This window comes from Homo sapiens, chromosome X (genome assembly GCF_000001405.40).
Source record: "Homo sapiens chromosome X, GRCh38.p14 Primary Assembly".
Classification (NCBI taxonomy): Eukaryota; Metazoa; Chordata; class Mammalia; order Primates; family Hominidae; genus Homo; species Homo sapiens.
The window spans coordinates 42,710,684-42,728,083 of NC_000023.11; the positions used below are offsets into that span (position 1 = coordinate 42,710,684).

The 17,400-nt window shown below is 38.2% G+C and overlaps 1 long non-coding RNA gene across 1 annotated transcript in view; it reads right to left on the reverse strand.

The window, feature by feature from the left end:
• Window positions 1-15,942: 15,942 nt before the first annotated feature.
• LOC105373186 (uncharacterized) overlaps window positions 15,943-17,400 on the reverse strand; it is a 29,294-nt gene continuing 27,836 nt past the window's right edge. The window contains exons 2-3 of the long non-coding RNA XR_002958821.2: window positions 16,251-16,371; window positions 15,943-16,084 (exon numbers count right to left, since the gene is read on the reverse strand). This is a non-coding gene — a long non-coding RNA (uncharacterized LOC105373186). The remainder of the gene's footprint in view (window positions 16,085-16,250; window positions 16,372-17,400) is intronic.

The following is a 17,400-nucleotide window of genomic DNA, read 5'->3' on the forward strand; positions in this document are numbered from 1 at the left end:
TCTTAGGCAAATTCTATGAAACTAGGTCAAAGCTTGTGTTTCTTTTCACAAGTATTCCTTTCCCCCCTCCAGACATAATGCTAGGCCAAGCATGCGTTCCCTTTTCACCCCAGGAGCAGAAGTATTTTTGTTTTTTTCCTGGCTTCCTCAGGGTTCTCCCCATCTCCCCTGTGTCCATCTACGAGGTTTCTGTAGGAAAATCTTAAAAGAAGGTGTGAACTTTTCTGTGTCTGCTTTCCCCAAGGGCTTTATACTCTTACACTAGCTGACACCAGGCATTTAACAATTTGACTTTTTAAAATTCTAGTTAAATTCTCTTTCTGGCTTAATTGGCTTTTGGCAGCCTCTGTGCCAGGTAAACAAAGGCTAGTATCCCATTTCTCCCTGCAGACACCAGTTTCTCTCTAGGGTTCAGGTTGGTTGTTTGCCCTGTGACTTCGGTTTTCTCATGTGTTCAAAAGAAGTCATTAATTTTATTCCTTTTTTTGTTCTTGTTGTTTAAAGGGCAGGAGCAATGTCTTTTCCAACTTTCTACATCTCCAAGCTGAAACTAGTGGTTGAAATTTTTCATATCTTGATTCAGGGACCTAGACTTCTTTCTCTTGTAGCTTTCCTATCCACTAGGGCTTGCATATGATTATTTATACTCATAGTTGACTTTTACTTAGAATAAACTAGTAGATGTTAAATTGCTGGGTGTTGCTGTGTGCATTCTCCAGGAAGCAGACTCTAAGACAGAGATTAGTATTCAGCAAGTTTTTTTTAAGGACATACTCTTAGGATTAAAACCGCTGGAAAGGAAGGGAAGAAGGCAGGATTGGACAAGACAGAAGTTCAGCTGAGATAGAATCTCAACAAAGGGTCGGTTGATCCCATGGAAAGCTCTGGAGCAGAGAGAGCTCTGAAGAGTTGTCCTGTATGCAGTGAGGAAGCTGAACTTTTATGTCTTCTCATCAGTCAGTCATTGAATGAGGGTATATCCAAAGGAATACCTTGTCAAGGCAAGAGTCTCCAGCTGAGGACAATTTCTTAAGAGGACTGAGAGCTGAGGACTATTATCTGGTAGCACTGGAGGAATAAGTCTTGAAGGGGATCTGGGCAATGCATCACAGCTTCCACTACATTGAGTCAAAGAATATGAATATTTTAAGGCTCTTGATAGGTATTGTGAAATTATTCTTCACAAAAGTTGCTCTAGAAAAGGTGTACTTAAGTACTCTTGTACTTAGTTTTCTCATTGGTAATGTAGAAATAATTTTAACAATTTGCCTCACAGAGTTATTGAGAGAATTAAATGAGTCAATATTTATGGTATGCTTAGAACAGTGCCTAGTATATATTAAACACCAAATGCTTCTTAGCTATCATAATTATTGCTATCATTTTGCACTGATACCAGAAGTACATAAAATTGCCTATTTATTTGCACTATAGCCACCTATGGGTATTTTCATTAAAACTAGAAATTTCCAATTTGAAATATGTCATGATGTTTTATTGACCACTTATATTTCTTCTTTTGTAGATTATTTTCTGATCCCCTTTGCCTATTTTCTATTAGAATGTAATTTTTTCTTACTAATTTGTGAGAGTTAAAAAAAGTCTTTAAGATATTTATTATTTAGCATTATGTGTCATAGAAGTTAGAAATATATTGCTAATCTGTGTATCTTTTAGCTTAATTAAGCTAGATTATTATATTTTTACATACTTTCTGTAGGAGGCCTAGTTAGTGGATCAATGTCAGAATAACATTAATGATGATGATAAAAATATTGTTTAATGACAACTAATATCTATTGAGTATTTACTACCCTATATGGTAAGAAACACTCATTCTTTCATGCATTATCTTATTAATTCTCAGCATACATCTCTATGAGTTAAAATATTCTATTATGCCCATTTAATAGATATGAAAACTAAGGATTAGAAAGATTAAACAACTTGCCCCAAAGTCATAAATGGTGGAGATGGTATTGAAACTCAGGTCTGTTAGATTCTAAAGCCATCATTTCCTAAGGTGTGTGTTTTGTGAAACACCATCCCATGAGACATTATGTATACATGTGCACAAATATGTACACGCCACATCAAATTGATCTAGTAGAGTTTTGAATATCTGATTCCAGAAATAGTCTATATAGATACCAGCATATGAAAAACTCAAAGGGACACTTTAGGAAAGAAACTTGTCTAACTTGTTTAACCCAGGATTTCCCCCAAATTATTTAATTATAGATCTTTTATTTCCCATTATATCACTAACAGACTGTAGAAACAGTGCTCTATTTCACACACCTGGTAAAATGCTGCACTACACTACTCAGTCCTTCAACGACTGAGGGCAGTGCCCAGCTGTCTGGGATTCTGTTCACTTATCATTGATACAGATGAAAACAAAGACAATGCCCTAATCAAATTAGCCGGTGACTCAAAGTGAGGAGGAAAAGCTGCTACACTAGGTAACAAAATAAGGATTTAATAATCTGGAACAATGAACAGAAGTAAATAAGATACAATCTGACAGGGATAAATGTAAAATCCCGCAGTTAGCTTAAAACAAAAATCAGTGACATGAGTGCAATTTAGAAGGAAGTTAGATTTCACAGTAGTTTGTGTGAGGAAGCCTGGGGGATTTAATTGATCATAAACCCAATAAAAAAGCAATTTAAATGTATTCAATAAGCAAGGGAACCACAGTTTTAAACCTACATTAATACATGATAGTGTTTAGATTGTCAAAGATTGGTATCCACTCCCCTGGTTGTTGTGCTAGTCAGAGAGTGTCTGGAACATTGTGATATATCTGGCAGCACGCTTTAAGACAAATAATGAATGGCAATCCAGAACCTATCCAAGTGGTGTTGACTTAGATAATGAGGAGTCCAGCAGCCATCACCTTTTGAGCAGTAGTAGAAACAGCTCAAGCTGTCTACTGTGGTAAGAGTAGGTTCAGGGTGGCCACTGGGAGTGGATGATTGTACTGAATATGTTTTGTTTGTTTCTATTTATTTTCCATTGTGCTTTGTACCCTAGGAGGCTCTCTGACCTCTATCTGCCAGTGGGAGGCACCAGGAGGAGATCAGAGATAGGAGGGGAATGAAGTAGGTATTTATTCTCTTGGCTGCCTCCCTGATGGATCACTGGGTGATTCTGTCCTCCAGCTTCAGCTACCTCTCAGCCTATCCTTCCCCTTGACACTTCAGGCTTAGGACTCTGTTCTTGCTGGCTCTAGAGTGGTCCTAAGTTTTGCTTAACCCTGCTCACATCTTTATAAATAACCCTTTTATCTTGCTCTCCTCAATTACTGCCTGAGCGTGTGATCCGTTGCCTGCTAGGACCAGCCCCAGACTAATGCTGGGATAATTAGGATGATTGTCTGAATATTTCAAGGGCTTTCACAAGGCAGAGGGTAGAATTAAGACAAGAGGGTGGAAGTTGTGGACAGATTGGATTCATGTACTCATTTATTCATTCAACTAATCTTATTAAGCCTCTACTATGTTCCAAGCCCTGTGCTATGCATAAGGCAGTGCTCTAAATGCTTATGGCAAAGAGAGTTAATCTAGGTTGAAAGTTAGGGAGGCTTCCCAGATTTAAAAAAAAAAAAAAAAGAACCCAAAAGATGAGTAGGGGTTGCAGGGTAAAGAGAGGAGAACCTGGGAAGAAATGTTCCAGGAAGAGGAATTTACAGGTGAGAAGGCTGGAAGTGAGAGAGAAAAAGACTTATTATAGGAGGTGAAAGAAGGTCCCAGTGTCTGGAGTTTCTCTATCTGCTGGTTGGGTGAGAGGAGCACATCAAGGGATGAGGCTGAGAGATGGGAGTGGGGCTGAACATGCAGAGCTATTGTGAACATGGACTTGATTTTAAGGGCCATAGGAGCCCCTTGAAAAGTTTAAAGCAAGGGAGACACCTATTATGATTTTCTCTTTCCATTGCAGAGCAAAAGGAACAAAAACACCCGAGAATATTCAGATATAAATCACACTACCTTATCAAGGAATGAGTAGCCAGCTCCTGGAAGTATCCAAGGAGAGACTGGATGACAGCTCTAGCATATTTTTAAGGAGGCAACTACACTGAGTGAGAGGTTGGACTACCAGACATCTATGGCCCTTTCTAATACAGAAAATTTTGAGCCTCCTCTGGCCCGTCCCCCATTCTCTATGGTGGGAATAAAGACATAGTGGTTTGAGAATCCTTTCACTGACATCCAAAACTGGCAGTGCAATGTGCTGTTTTTTTTTTTTTTTTTTTTTTTCAGCCCCTACCCTTGGGCCTAGAAGGAAAGATACACATCCAGACTGGAACTTCTGATAAGACACTGGGCTCTAGTGTTTGTGTTCTCTCATCCCAGCTGACACAGGAAGGACACTGGCCACAATGAGTTCCAGGGAATGGCTCAGCCAGCATCTGACTTTCAGGCCCGCTAACAGCTGGCTCTATAGTCTAGGGTATTAAACAAGTTCACCAGTTTTTTTTTTCTTTTAAAATTAAACTCTATGAAATATAAGAAAACAAACATCTCGGGCCCTGGGTCAGTGCCACACTCTGGCCACAGTGAGGACCGGGCAAGGTTCGAGGGCTCTGAAGGCAGAGGTGTTGTCAAGCACTGTGGCACTCTTGTTTTGGAACTCACTCTCAGGGACTGGGCAGATCTGTGTGTGATAACACAGCTGTGGTCCGATAATTACAGAAAGCTTCTCATTATGCTTGAGTAGGGGCCAAGGCATGGCCCTGCCACTGCCATGCCTTGGCTCCCACTCAAGTATAATGAGGTTTCTGTAATTGTCGGCCTGTGAGGCTGCAAAACTGGCACTGTTTAGAGCAAGTTGGCTTTTACAGCAAGTTGGCTTTTACAGCCAGCACTGGCATCTGAGGTGTGCCGGAGAGCTCCTGTTCCTGCTTCCTGCAGGCGAGCGCCCCTAGTGCCTGCTTCTCATCTCCTAACTCGGGCAATCTCTTTGTTCCTAAACCCACTGCATCAAACACAGCAGCTCCGTCAGTGGGGCTCAGTTTTCTAGTTGATATTCCATTCAACTTCTGTTCACATGACTCATCTTTCTTCCCCCTTCACATACTTCTCTTTTTTCTAACCCCGGAAAGGGATTCATTTTCTTTAACATTCCAGGTATAGAACATGTTTAATCAGAGCCTGGATAGTCCCTGCTGTCTGGGTACAATGACAGGAGAAGCAGCTTGGCTTTCTAAGCACTTCTTATGGCCTTAAATGAGGACAGATTGATTTTAGCCGAAATACCCATTAGCGAAAGATAATTAGAAAATTATCAATCTATACGTTGAGTCGTAACAATTTGAATGAGAGCACAGGATAGGTCATCCTGGCCCTGACAGATCACCAGGGCAACAGAAGAGGGCCTCTGGGGAAAAGAAGAGCAGGGAAGAAGGAGCTGACTTGGGCTCAACAGTCATGAAGGCGGGAGCGAAGCAGAGTGAAGTGAATGTGCGAGGGTTTAATTTGCCTCATGGAAAATATCCTATTATCAAGAAGCTGCTTCCTCTACTGGAATTTTTACTTTTTCCAATAAAAGGGAAGAAGTACAGTTTTATGTAACACATACAGCAGAAAAAGTAGAACGGTGACCCTGTGAAAATTACGGCATTAAAAGCAATAAGCTTGCCATTGCCAATAAACCACACAGACACCATGCCATGCCATCCTGAGTATAAAGATGACATTTTTACAGTTATTCCTATAGTAACTTCTCCCACCGCAACTACATTTTGAACATCATGCTTTCACAAAGAGACTCTTTCTAAAGTTTGAGGATTTCTGAGGTTTCATTATTCAAGGCCCAGGTCAGGCATCCCATTTTCAAGAAAGCCTCACAGCCTGGATTACATGCTCCCATAGTACCTTTCTCTCATGGCAGTTAATTCACTTCTGTATTTGCTAATTGTTTACTTATCTTTCCAACCACTAGACTATGAGCTTCCTGAAGACAATCATCATGGATTATTCATTTCTGAATCCCTGGTGTCTACCAGTACCTGGCTTTATAAATGTTTATAGAGTTGAATAATTAATAAGCCTTATTTCTTGTCCCATCCTTTAAGCCAAGGAGACTAAGTTAAGCCATAGCAACTGAGTTAAGTTAGATACCTTCACTAATCTCTCCTAACCCCAAGGTGCTATAATTTTAGAATCTGCTGTCTTCTGCCTAAATCAGAAAGTAGATGAGGTTTGGAAGCAAGAAAATTATTTGGCTGGATGAGAATGTTAAAAGGGAGAAAACAATTTCTCCTAAGCAGAATTCTTCATTTAAAATGGAGAGGAGAGGTGTGGCAAGGGTAGAATGGATTTGAGGCTAGGGGTATACAAAGATATATGCCCAAAATTATAGAAAGGCAGAAACATCAATTCTCATTTTCTTCTAAAGAAAAGTCAATAATTGAAGTCTATATTATAAGCAGTGATCACCAGAATCCTGACTACAGGAAAAAAATTGACAGCCCTTCTCCTTTTTTTCTGCAAATGAAAAATTCTGATTGTATAAAAATAATTTAAGGGTGAAGGCAAGGACTTGTTTCCTTTTAGAATCAGTGGCTGAAAAGATGGTAGAAATAATTGAAGATCAATTCAAAATAGGCAATTTAATTGGGTCTTTATTTTTCAAAAAAAAGGAGAAATTTAAAACATCAGGCTTACTCTTCTGAGTTGTATAAAAGGAATACAGAACATAAAAATTCAATATAGAACAAATCAAATACATACCGAACTTTCATTCTCTATTGTCCACACTTATAGGAATGAGAAAGAGAATTAAAGAGGCAGAGAGAGAAAGAGGTGAGTGGGGGAGGCTTTGGATAAAGTAACAGAAAAGAGAGAAAGACACTTGTAAGCCTAATGGCCATAAAAACATAGCTAGAAAAAGACACACACAATAAAGACCCAGATAGAGGTTTCCATGACCTAAAATATCTATTCTGTGTTATTTTAGAATAAGTTAGTAAAGACTTTTAAAAGCATGTTTTATTTTTGACTTTCAATATCTCTTGGTTTCAGAGTTTATGACAATTTGATATTTGTTCTTTGTGTGTTTGTGTGTGTGTGTGTGTGTGACAGAGAGAGAGAGAGAGAGAGAGAATGAAAGACTCTAAAGGAATTAACATAAGAGGTATGCTGAGAAAGTTTGTTCAGAGTAAGGAGTATTTCAGGAAGAAAATATTTTGATATTTTGAATGTATCACTGGGTAATACTACTTTGGCTGCTGCTGAAAGAGACACGATGGAGTGGGAGAGGGTCAGAAAATGGGTTTCATTGGCTGCTATTTGTTTCCTTCAAGATCTTCTGGATCATCTATTTGTTCTCACCTCATACTAGTCAGAGTTCCTGGGGTGCAATGGGGCTTGGGGATCCTTACACTGCTCTTAACAAGCTGTTTCCTTCATGACCCAGTGGAAGTGGGTAAATAAAATCTGCGTATGAGATTTTTCCATCTTATGAAAAATATGCTTAAAGTAAAACCATTCCTTGTAAGTAACCATGGCCTACCAATGTGTCAACTAAGTTTATTACGGGGAACATTTGTAGATTTATTCCATGCTGAATCTTCTAACTTTTTATTCTTATGTGACTATATACTGAAGAAATCCTAAAGATAAGCAGTTTTGCACACCTTTGTTACTCTTATTATTGTATGTATAAAAATATTCCATTTTCACGTATTTAATTCTATAGTTATTGATTCAGAAAAAGGATAATATGTAACATTGTGGGCTCACTGTTTTTCATGAACTTAATGTGCTCATGAATCATTGAATGTCTTCTCACTGACTGCTTCTTGTGTCCAAGTTATTGTGTATTATTGATCCACAATGACTTTGTAATAAAATCAGTTTTTTTCTATTCTTTATATTAATGCTCTTATTTAAAACTCTGTAACTCAATTGTTATTTTGTTTTGAAACGAAAACCTTTCATGAGTTTATGTTATAGGCAAGGCATCATGCTAGTCACTGGAAGTGAATGCCTTGTTGCAGTGACTCTGTGGAGCAAATGGCATCTAAACTCACTTCTTGATTTATAATCTGTTTCATTTCTCCTTAACTCCCCAACCTATTTAATTAAATGGATCCTTAATATAAAATGTTATTTAACAAAGGGAAAGAGACCTATTTAGGTGTGTGTTCTAAATCAGGAGTCCCCAACCCCCAGGCCCCAAACCCTGCCTGTTAAGAACCCAGCAGTGGGCCAGGGAGCATTGCCACCTGAGCTCCACCTCCTGTCTAAGGAACAGCGGCATTAGAGTCTCATAGGGGCGCAAACTTTATTGTAAACTGCACGTGTGAGGGATCTAGGGTGCACATTCCTTATGAGAATCTAACTAATGCGTGATGGTCTGAGGTGGAGCAGTTTCATCCCGAAACCATCCCCCATCCCCACCCCACCCCATCCATGGAAAAATTGTCTTCTGCGAAAAGGGTCCCTGGTGCCAAAAAGGTTGGGAACTGCTATTTTAAATAAACCAGCATCAAGTATCCATCCTCTAACTTTTTCCTCTTGGTCATACAGTAAAATATAATCAATAAAAATTTTTATAGACTGTGACCTCTTCCTGTCAGGATAGAAGTGGTTTACAGTAAAGGAGATATTCAGATCTTTATCCTAGACCACAGTTTGGCTGTGCTAGCCCTTGGTACAGGGGAGTCAGAGGCTTGAGTTTAGGTCCCTGAACAAGATGGAAGGAATCCCAGCTGTAGCGTTAGAACATCGATGAAATTCTCCACTAATCTACTCCTCTCCACCTGAACTGAAAAAGGTCTTCTTTCTTTTTTCTCAGTGCTAGTGTTCTATTAATAGAAGTAGAGACATACTTTAATATGGAGATAAACTTTAATAATAGAAATAAAAACATTTATTTGGTCATGTCATAATGACCAAGACAAAGTTAACTCTGATTCCACAGTATATTTTAAGCCAAAATATACTTGCTTTCTGAACCATAAACATGGCTAAAATGACCTTTCTTTTTTTCCAAAGAAGAGAAAATCCTAACAAATAGTCTATAAGAAAATATCTAAAACACTTTGTATGAAACTTGCTTTACTTTTTCTTAATCTCCAAGATTAGATAATACTGGAAGAATATTAGATCTTTGAATTCAAGTCACACTGAAATAGGCATGGCAAAATGAGTATTTAAAAAAAGGGAAGAAAGAGAAATTGATTATACTGGAGGTTTGAGATCTGTGATCAAGAATGTTTCACAGAGGAGAAGACCTTTAACATTTTTAGCTCATTCTTGGACCATGGAAATATTTTGACAGAGAGAGGAGGGAAAAATTATCAGGTTTAAGTGAAAATATGCCAGTGTTATAGTGTTTGGGTATTTGAGGAACGAGGATTGGTTTAATGTGGTCATGACATATCACTGGGAGTGGCTGGACACCAGGCCAATGACTTATTTTTAAGCTAATTTCTACGTGTTGCTAGTGGGAAATTGAAAAGGGTGTCAGGAGGTAAATAAGTGTATATAAATAAAGCCAAACTATTTTATTGATCTATATCCACAAAATCTGTGAAATCAGAAGAGTCTGTTCTCCTGAAGACCTATTTTATACTGGATACCAGGCAGAGAACTGGTACATAATTATTATTGGCTCAACTGCTTTAGACCTAAAGTATAAGTTATCTATTGCCTTACGTAATGCAGCATAACAACTCACTTCCTGTTTTACCTATCTCCATCAAACAAAACCGTAGCTCTTGTGTCTGTGGATCAGCTGGGCGGTTCTTCTGTTCTGGGCCAGGCTAAAATTATCTCATCTAGAAGCATTCATGTAAGCAGTTAGCCAGCTGGTTGGCTGGGAACTGACTGGTCTTTGATTACTTCTCTCGAGATGGCTCTCCTCCATGGGGTCTCTTATCCTCTAGTAGGCTGGTCCAGCCTTGTTCACAGAGCTCTCTAGGATTTGAGAGAGCAAGAAGTATACAAAGCCTTCTGAGTCCTAGATTTGGAACTGTAACACCATCACTTCCACTGTATTCTGTTATCTAAAACATGACACAGGGCTTCCAGGGGTGGGATTATAAACTTCACTTCTTTTTTTTTTTTTTACACTTTAAGTTCTAGGGTACATGTGCACAACATATAGGCTTGTTACATATGTATACATGTGCCATGTTGTTGTGCTGCACCCATCAACTCGTCATTTACATTAGGTATATCTCCCAATGCTATCCCTCCCCCCTCTCCACACCCACAACAGGCCTCGGTGTGTGGTGTTCCCCACCCTGTGTCCAAGTGTTCTCATTGTTCAATTCCCACCTATGAGTGAGAACATGCGGTGTTTGGTTTTCTGTCCTTGCGATAGTTTGCTCAGAATGATGGTTTCCAGCTCCATCCATGTCCCTACAAAGACATGAACTCATCCTTTTTTATGACTGCATAGTATTCCATGGTGTATATGTGCCACATTTTCTTAATCCAGTCTATCATTGATGGACATTTGGGTTGGTTCCAAGTCTTTGCTATTGTGAATAGTGCCGCAATAAACATACGTGCACATGTGTCTTTATAGCAGCATGATTTATAGTCCTTTGGGTATATACCCAGTAATGGGATGACTGGGTCAAATGGTATTTCTAGTTCTAGATCCTTGAGGAATCGCCACACTGTCTTCCACGATGATTGAACTAGTTTAAAGTCCCATCAACAGTGTAAAAGTGTTCCTATTTCTCCACATCCTCTCCAACATCTGTTGTTTCCTGACTTTTTAATGATCGCCATTCTAACTGGTGTGAGATGGTATCTCATTGTGGTTTTGATTTGCATTTCTCTGATGGCCAGTGATGATGAGCATTTTTTCATGTGTCTGTTGGCTGCATAAATGTCTTCTTTTGAGAAATATCTGTTCATATCCTTCACCCATTTTTTGATGGGGTTGTTTGTTTTTTTCTTGTAAATTTGTTTGAGTTCATTGTAGATTCTGGATATTAGCCCTTTGTCAGATGAGTAGATTGCAAACATTTTCTCCCATTCTGTAGGCTGCCTGTTCACTCTGATGGTAGTTCCTTTTGCTGTGCAGAAGCTCTTCAGTTTAATTAGATCCCATTTGTCAATTTTGGCTTTTGTTGCCATTGCTTTTGGTGTTTTAGACGTGAAGTCCTTGCCCATGCCTATGTCCTGAATGGTATTGCCTAGGTTTTCTTCTAGGGTTTTTATGGTTTTAGGTCTGACATTAAAGTCTTTCATCCATCTTGAATTAATTTTAGTGTAAGGTGTAAGGAAGGGATCCAGTTTCAGCTTTCTACATATGGCTAGCCAGTTTTCCCAGCACCATTTATTAAATAGGGAATCCTTTCCCCATTGATTGCTTTTCTCAGGTTTGTCAAAGATCAGATGGTTGTAGATGTGTGGTATTATTTCTGAGGGCTCCGTTCTGTTCCATTGGTCTATATCTCTGTTTTGGTACCAGTACCATGCTGTTTTGGTTACTGTAGCCTTGTAGTATAGTTTCAAGTCAGGTAGTGTGATGCCTCCAGCTTTGTTCTTTTGGCTTAGGATTGTCTTGGCAATGTGGGCTCTTTTTTGGTTCCATATGAACTTTAAAGTAGTTTTTTCCAATTCTGTGAAGAAGGTCATTGGTAGCTTGATGGGGTTGGCACTGAATCTATAAATTACCTTGGGCAGTATGGCCATTTTCACGATATTGATTCTTCCTACCCATGAGCATGGAATGTTCTTCCATTTGTTTGTATCCTCTTTCATTTTGTTGAGAGGTGGGGTGTAATTCTCCTTGAAGAGTTCCTTCACATCCCTTGTAAGTTGGATTCCTAGGTATTTTATTCTCTTTGAAGCAATTGTGAATGGGAGTTCACTCATGATTTGGCTCTCTGTTTGTCTGTTATTGGTGTATAGGAATGCTTGTGACTTTTGCACATTGATTTTGTATCCTGAGACTTCGCTGAAGTTGCTTATCAGCTTAAGGAGAGCTGGGGCTGAGACGATGGGGTTTTCTAAATATACAATCATGTCATCTGCAAACAGGGACAATTTGACTTCCTCTTTTCCTAATTGAATACCCTTTATTTCTTTCTCCTGCCTGATTTCCCTGGCCAGAACTTCCAACACTATGTTGAATAGGAGTGGTGAGAGAGGGCATCCCTGTCTTGTGCCAGTTTTCAAAGGGAATGCTTCCAGTTTTTGCCCATTCAGTATGATATTGGCTGTGGGTTTGTCATAAATAGCTCTTATGATTTTGAGATACATCCCATCAATACCCAATTTATTGAGAGTTTTTAGCATGAAGGGCTGTTGAATTTTGTCAAAGGCCTTTTCTGCATCTATTGAGATAATCATGTGGTTTTTGTCTTTGGTTCTGTTTATATGATGGATTACATTTATTGATTTGGATATGTTGAACCAGCCTTGCATCCCAGGGATGAAGCCCACTTGATCATGGTGGATAAGCTTTTTGATGTGCTGCTGGATTCAGTTTGCCAGTATTTTATTGCGGATTTTTGCATTGATGTTTATCAGGGATATTGGTCTAAAATTTTCTTTTTTTGTTGTGTCTCTTCCAGGCTTTGGTATCAGGATTATGCTCGCCTCATGAAATGAGTTACGGAGGATTCCTCTTTTTCTATTGATTGGAATAGTTTCAGAAGGAATGGTACCAGCTCCTCTTTGTACCTCTGGTAGAATTCGGCTGTGACTCCATCTGGTCCTGGACATTTTTTGGTTGGTAGGCTCTTAATTATTGCCTCAATTTCAGAGCCCGTTATTGGTCTATTCAGGGATTCAACTTCTTCCTGGTTTAGTCTTGGGAGGGTGTATGTGTCCAGGAATTTATCCATTTCTTCTAGGTTTTCTAGTTTATTTGCGTAGAGTTGTTTATAGTATTCTCTGATGGTAGTTTGTATCTCTGTGGGATTGGTGGTGATATCCCCTTTATCATTTTTTATTGTGTCTATTTGATTCTTCTCTCTTTTCTTCTTTATTAGTCTTGCTAGCAGTCTATCACTTTTGTTGATCTTTTCATGGGAAGCTTGATGGACAAAGTTATGGCCTTAGAAGAGCAGTGACAATTGTGTCATTTGTGCAACCAATCTACCTCAGAATAGCAAGCTTAAAAATTGAAAGGTAGGTATCAGGTTAAGGAGAATTAAGGTACTCCTAGGCAATGAGGAATTGCATCAGGTTCTGGTTTTGTATTTGTGTGCGCATATTTTTTTTTCTTTCACAGTGGCATCATGGAAAAATTAAAGATCGTAAAATAACTAGATCGAGAGCAACAAATTATATCAGAATTAGGATCTTATTTTTAGAAAGAAATCAACCTCTTCAAGCCTGCCTCAAAGTATGTAGTGAGATAATCTGTAATTTAAAATATTTTAAGAAGAGCTAATGTTTTATGAGGAAATATAAAAACACATTTTTAATCTCTATTTGAGCTAATCAAACTGGAAGTATTAATTTCATGAATGTCAGTTTGGGTACAAAGCAAAGTTTCATAGTTTGTGATTATAACAACAAATGGCAAGGTAGAAAAGAGACCATCTTCTCAGGAAAATTACACTTTATTCTTGGAAAAAGAACAAAACTGACCTTTTCCTGCCTCCTGATGGCAAATAAATTGCAGAGATCAGCGTAAAGCATGACCCATCCTATTATCATCATAGTTTTTGCAGCCCATTTAACTTTTGTTTTCAATATGTGCTTGAATAAAAGCCCTAATTTTACTCAGGGAATCTTCCAGCCTTTTTTCAAATGCCACTTGAGTGGATGCAATAAGCACTGTTATAAGAGAACAAGAAATACAAAAAGTGGGATTATAATTCTGGTATTAATGCTGTGTGCTCTTGATTCTTCTGCACCCTAATTTCCTCAACCACTTAATTTTAAACTTTTCCTGCATAAAAGTTATAAGTACACATGAAATCACATTTAAAAAATACCCCGTTCATTGTTGGGAGATTAGATTGACACAATATTTTTAGGGGGTAGTTTTGATGTCAAAAGCCTTAGAATTTTGCATACTTTTTAACCCAATGATTCTACTTTTAGGGATTTATTTTAAGGAAAATAAGTCACTTGCTTTAGCTGCAAGGATACTTATTTTTCTAATTTTATGACAGCAAAAATATTGGAAACAACCAAATGACCTGAATTGGAGGTTTGGATAAGTAAATTACAGTGTTTCCATACATTAAAATGCTAAGCAGCAGTGAAAAATGATGAGGTGGAGAATTTTTATGAGTATATGCTGAATAGTTTTCATATCACTAAATGAAAATGCATATAACAAAATAATATGTTCAATATAATTGTATTTTTGAATAAAGTATGTATATAAAAAGAATGAGAGAATATGTACTGAAATGTTATTAGTGGTGATCTATATTGGAGATAGAGTTGGGTTTTATTTTCTTATTTTTGTTTAACACTATTTTTATATGTATTACTTTTATATGAGAATTTTATTTTTTTTTCTTATAATAAAAGATTTATGGGATAAGATTTATAAATATAGAACATTTTTGTGCTTACCCCTTGAATCAGGACAATATAATAATGAGAACTCAAATTTAAAACTCTGCATCTTTAAAAGGTTTTCCAGCTGACATCTTGTCACAGACAAAACACTTTTCTATTTATGTTTACAGCATTGAAAAATGCACAGTATCCTACAGTACAAGGAAGGAGATTTATAATAAAGTTCTTCATCTCAGTGTATGAGTATACCTGTAAATCATTCACAGACTCACATTAAGTATAAGCCTCAAAGTAGCAAATGTATCAAGCAAACAAATTGTGAGCATGTCTGCACTATCTGCGTCTTTGTTTCTCTGTGTAAGCATGACCGTCTTGCTAAACTCTCATTCCACAGCCACCTAATTGTTCATTCAACACATATTTATTTCAGGGCTATATATTAACAGCTGTGTCTAGTACTATGATTCTGGAAAATTAGGCTGCCAATGGCTTCTTGGAATCAGAGTCCTTGCAGACACTCAACAATGCCTCCAGGATAATGCAGATTCTGCATGCAATATCAAAAGAGCAAAAAACATTTCCCCTGCCTTCAAGAAACTTGTTTTCTGAGCAAAAAAGGAAAAAAATACATGCATTAAATGAGTAGGAAAAAATGTCATTCATCTATTTGTTTAACAAGATATATTTTCAACTTACTGATGATGGGCAGCTTGTCAGATAAGAGTGAAGAAAATATATGTTCCAATTTTAGAATATAATTCAGGGTCAGTTAATGCCAGATACTGTAATTTAGGGATGGGAGAGAGTAATCTTAGTCCCACAAAACTTACTTCAGTGATGGAAGGGACCGCACGAGTATCTTGTCCAAACAAAGCTAGCATGATTTTATAGAGCTGGAAATTAGACAGATGGGGAAGGCTTTCCTGTAGAAATAGAGCTTAAAAGTGGAATTGAGATGATGGGTGGAATTTGCTAGAGAAGAATAACAGAGGAGTACTCTACCAGAGGAAGAAACAAGCAAAGGGACTGAACTGGGTGAGAGTATGCTATGGTCAGAATTTGTCCGCCAAAAACATGTGTTGGAAACTTAGTCCCCAAAGCAACAGTGTTGTGAGATGAGGCCTAATGAGAGGTGTTTAGGCTGTGAAGTCAGAGTGAATAAATTAATGACATTATCACAAGAGTGGGTTCATTGTCACAGGAGTGGATTTGCCCACTCTTGCGCTCTTTTTCTCCTTATGTTTGTCTTTTCACCATGTGATGCCTTCCACCATGATGCAGCAAGAAGGCCCTTTCAAGACGCTGGCACTTTGATCTTAGACTTACTAGCTTCCATAACTGTGAGAAATAAATATCTGTTTATTAGAAATTACCTAGTCTATGGTATTCTGTTACAGCCGTGCAAAACAGACTAAGACAGGGTGTGACTTATAAGTGGGCCTAAGAGGTAAGAGAGAAAGCTGAGCACTTACCCAAGATCCAAGCACAGACAGAAAGATTCTCTACTGATTCATAACATACTGCAGGCATCAGAGAATGGAGCTCTTGAGACATTATTCTCTCTCAAAAGAGAGATAGCAAGTAGATAAACAGTCCCAAATGGTTGTTCACCTTTATTCCTTAAAGAAAAAAAATAAGGGTTACACATAAAATGAACAATTATAAACAATCTGTAGACTGGAAAAAAAAGTCCTGTAGATTTTCCAGCTATGTAGGTGTTTCTAAGATCATGTTTTTGAAGCAAGAATAAAAGCAATGGATATAAATTCTACTTTTACCACTTACCGTAACACTAAGTCCTTTTGGAGTTCTCAAATCTTAGGACCATTCTTTATTTTATAATGGAAGGATCATATTTCCACTTCTGGGCAGGATAGAGTAAGAGGGACTAGATTTATATTCCCACCTGAAACAACCACAGAAACAAAACAAAATATGTGAAACAACTACGTTCAAGTAACTGGAAATCAGACCGCGAAAGATAGCGAGTCTTGAGAGATGGAAACAAATGAAGTAAAACTTTTGATTGCCACAACTTACCATTTTGAGAGGGTTTACATGCTGTGGTGCAGAAAGGGGAACCTAGACAAAGCCTGATGGTCTCACTGAGTGGAGACAGAGCTGAATGTCTGGGGAAATCAAGGCAACTAGAGATAGCTGGGCAGAGTACCAGAGAGGAGAAAGGTGCATAGAGAGAGGGACCTGAAGATTTTCAGAGCATTCTGCTCAAGTGCTTAGTACAGTATTGATCAAAGCACATGTATAGATAAAACACCTGAGGCTGGGGAAATACCCATAGATAGACAGATTTACAGATAGCAGTCTGGCATTCACGCTGAGCCAAGAATAGTGTGTTATCACCAACCAGGCTGAAAAAGTCACAACTTGTGGGGCACTGGGTAGAGTACTCAGGAAGTTCTTGCCTCAGTAGTGGGGAATAATTAGCTCTGATAGAACACCACACCAGACTTATCTAACAAATCTTAAAAGTGCTACCTGAAAAGACTGAACTGTTTCCAAATAACCTAATTGTATCCCTGAATAAAGCTTAAGAACACATAGGAATAGAAAAATATCCAGAACGCTAAAGAGCATGTGGTACATACACACCATGGAATACTGTGCAGCCATAAAAAAGAATGAGATCATGTCCTTTGCATGGACATGGATGGAGCTGTGGGCCATTATACTTAGCAAACTAATGCAGGAACAGAAAAACCAAATACCACATGTTCTTACTTATAAGTGGGAGCTAAATGGTAAGAACACATAGACACATTGTGGGGAACAACACACACTGGGCCTGTTGGAGTGTGGAGGGTAGGAGGAGAGAGGGGATCAGGAAAAATAACTAATGAGTACTAGGCTTAACACCTGGATGATGAAATAATCTGTACAACAAATCCCCATGACACGTTTACCTATGTAACAAACC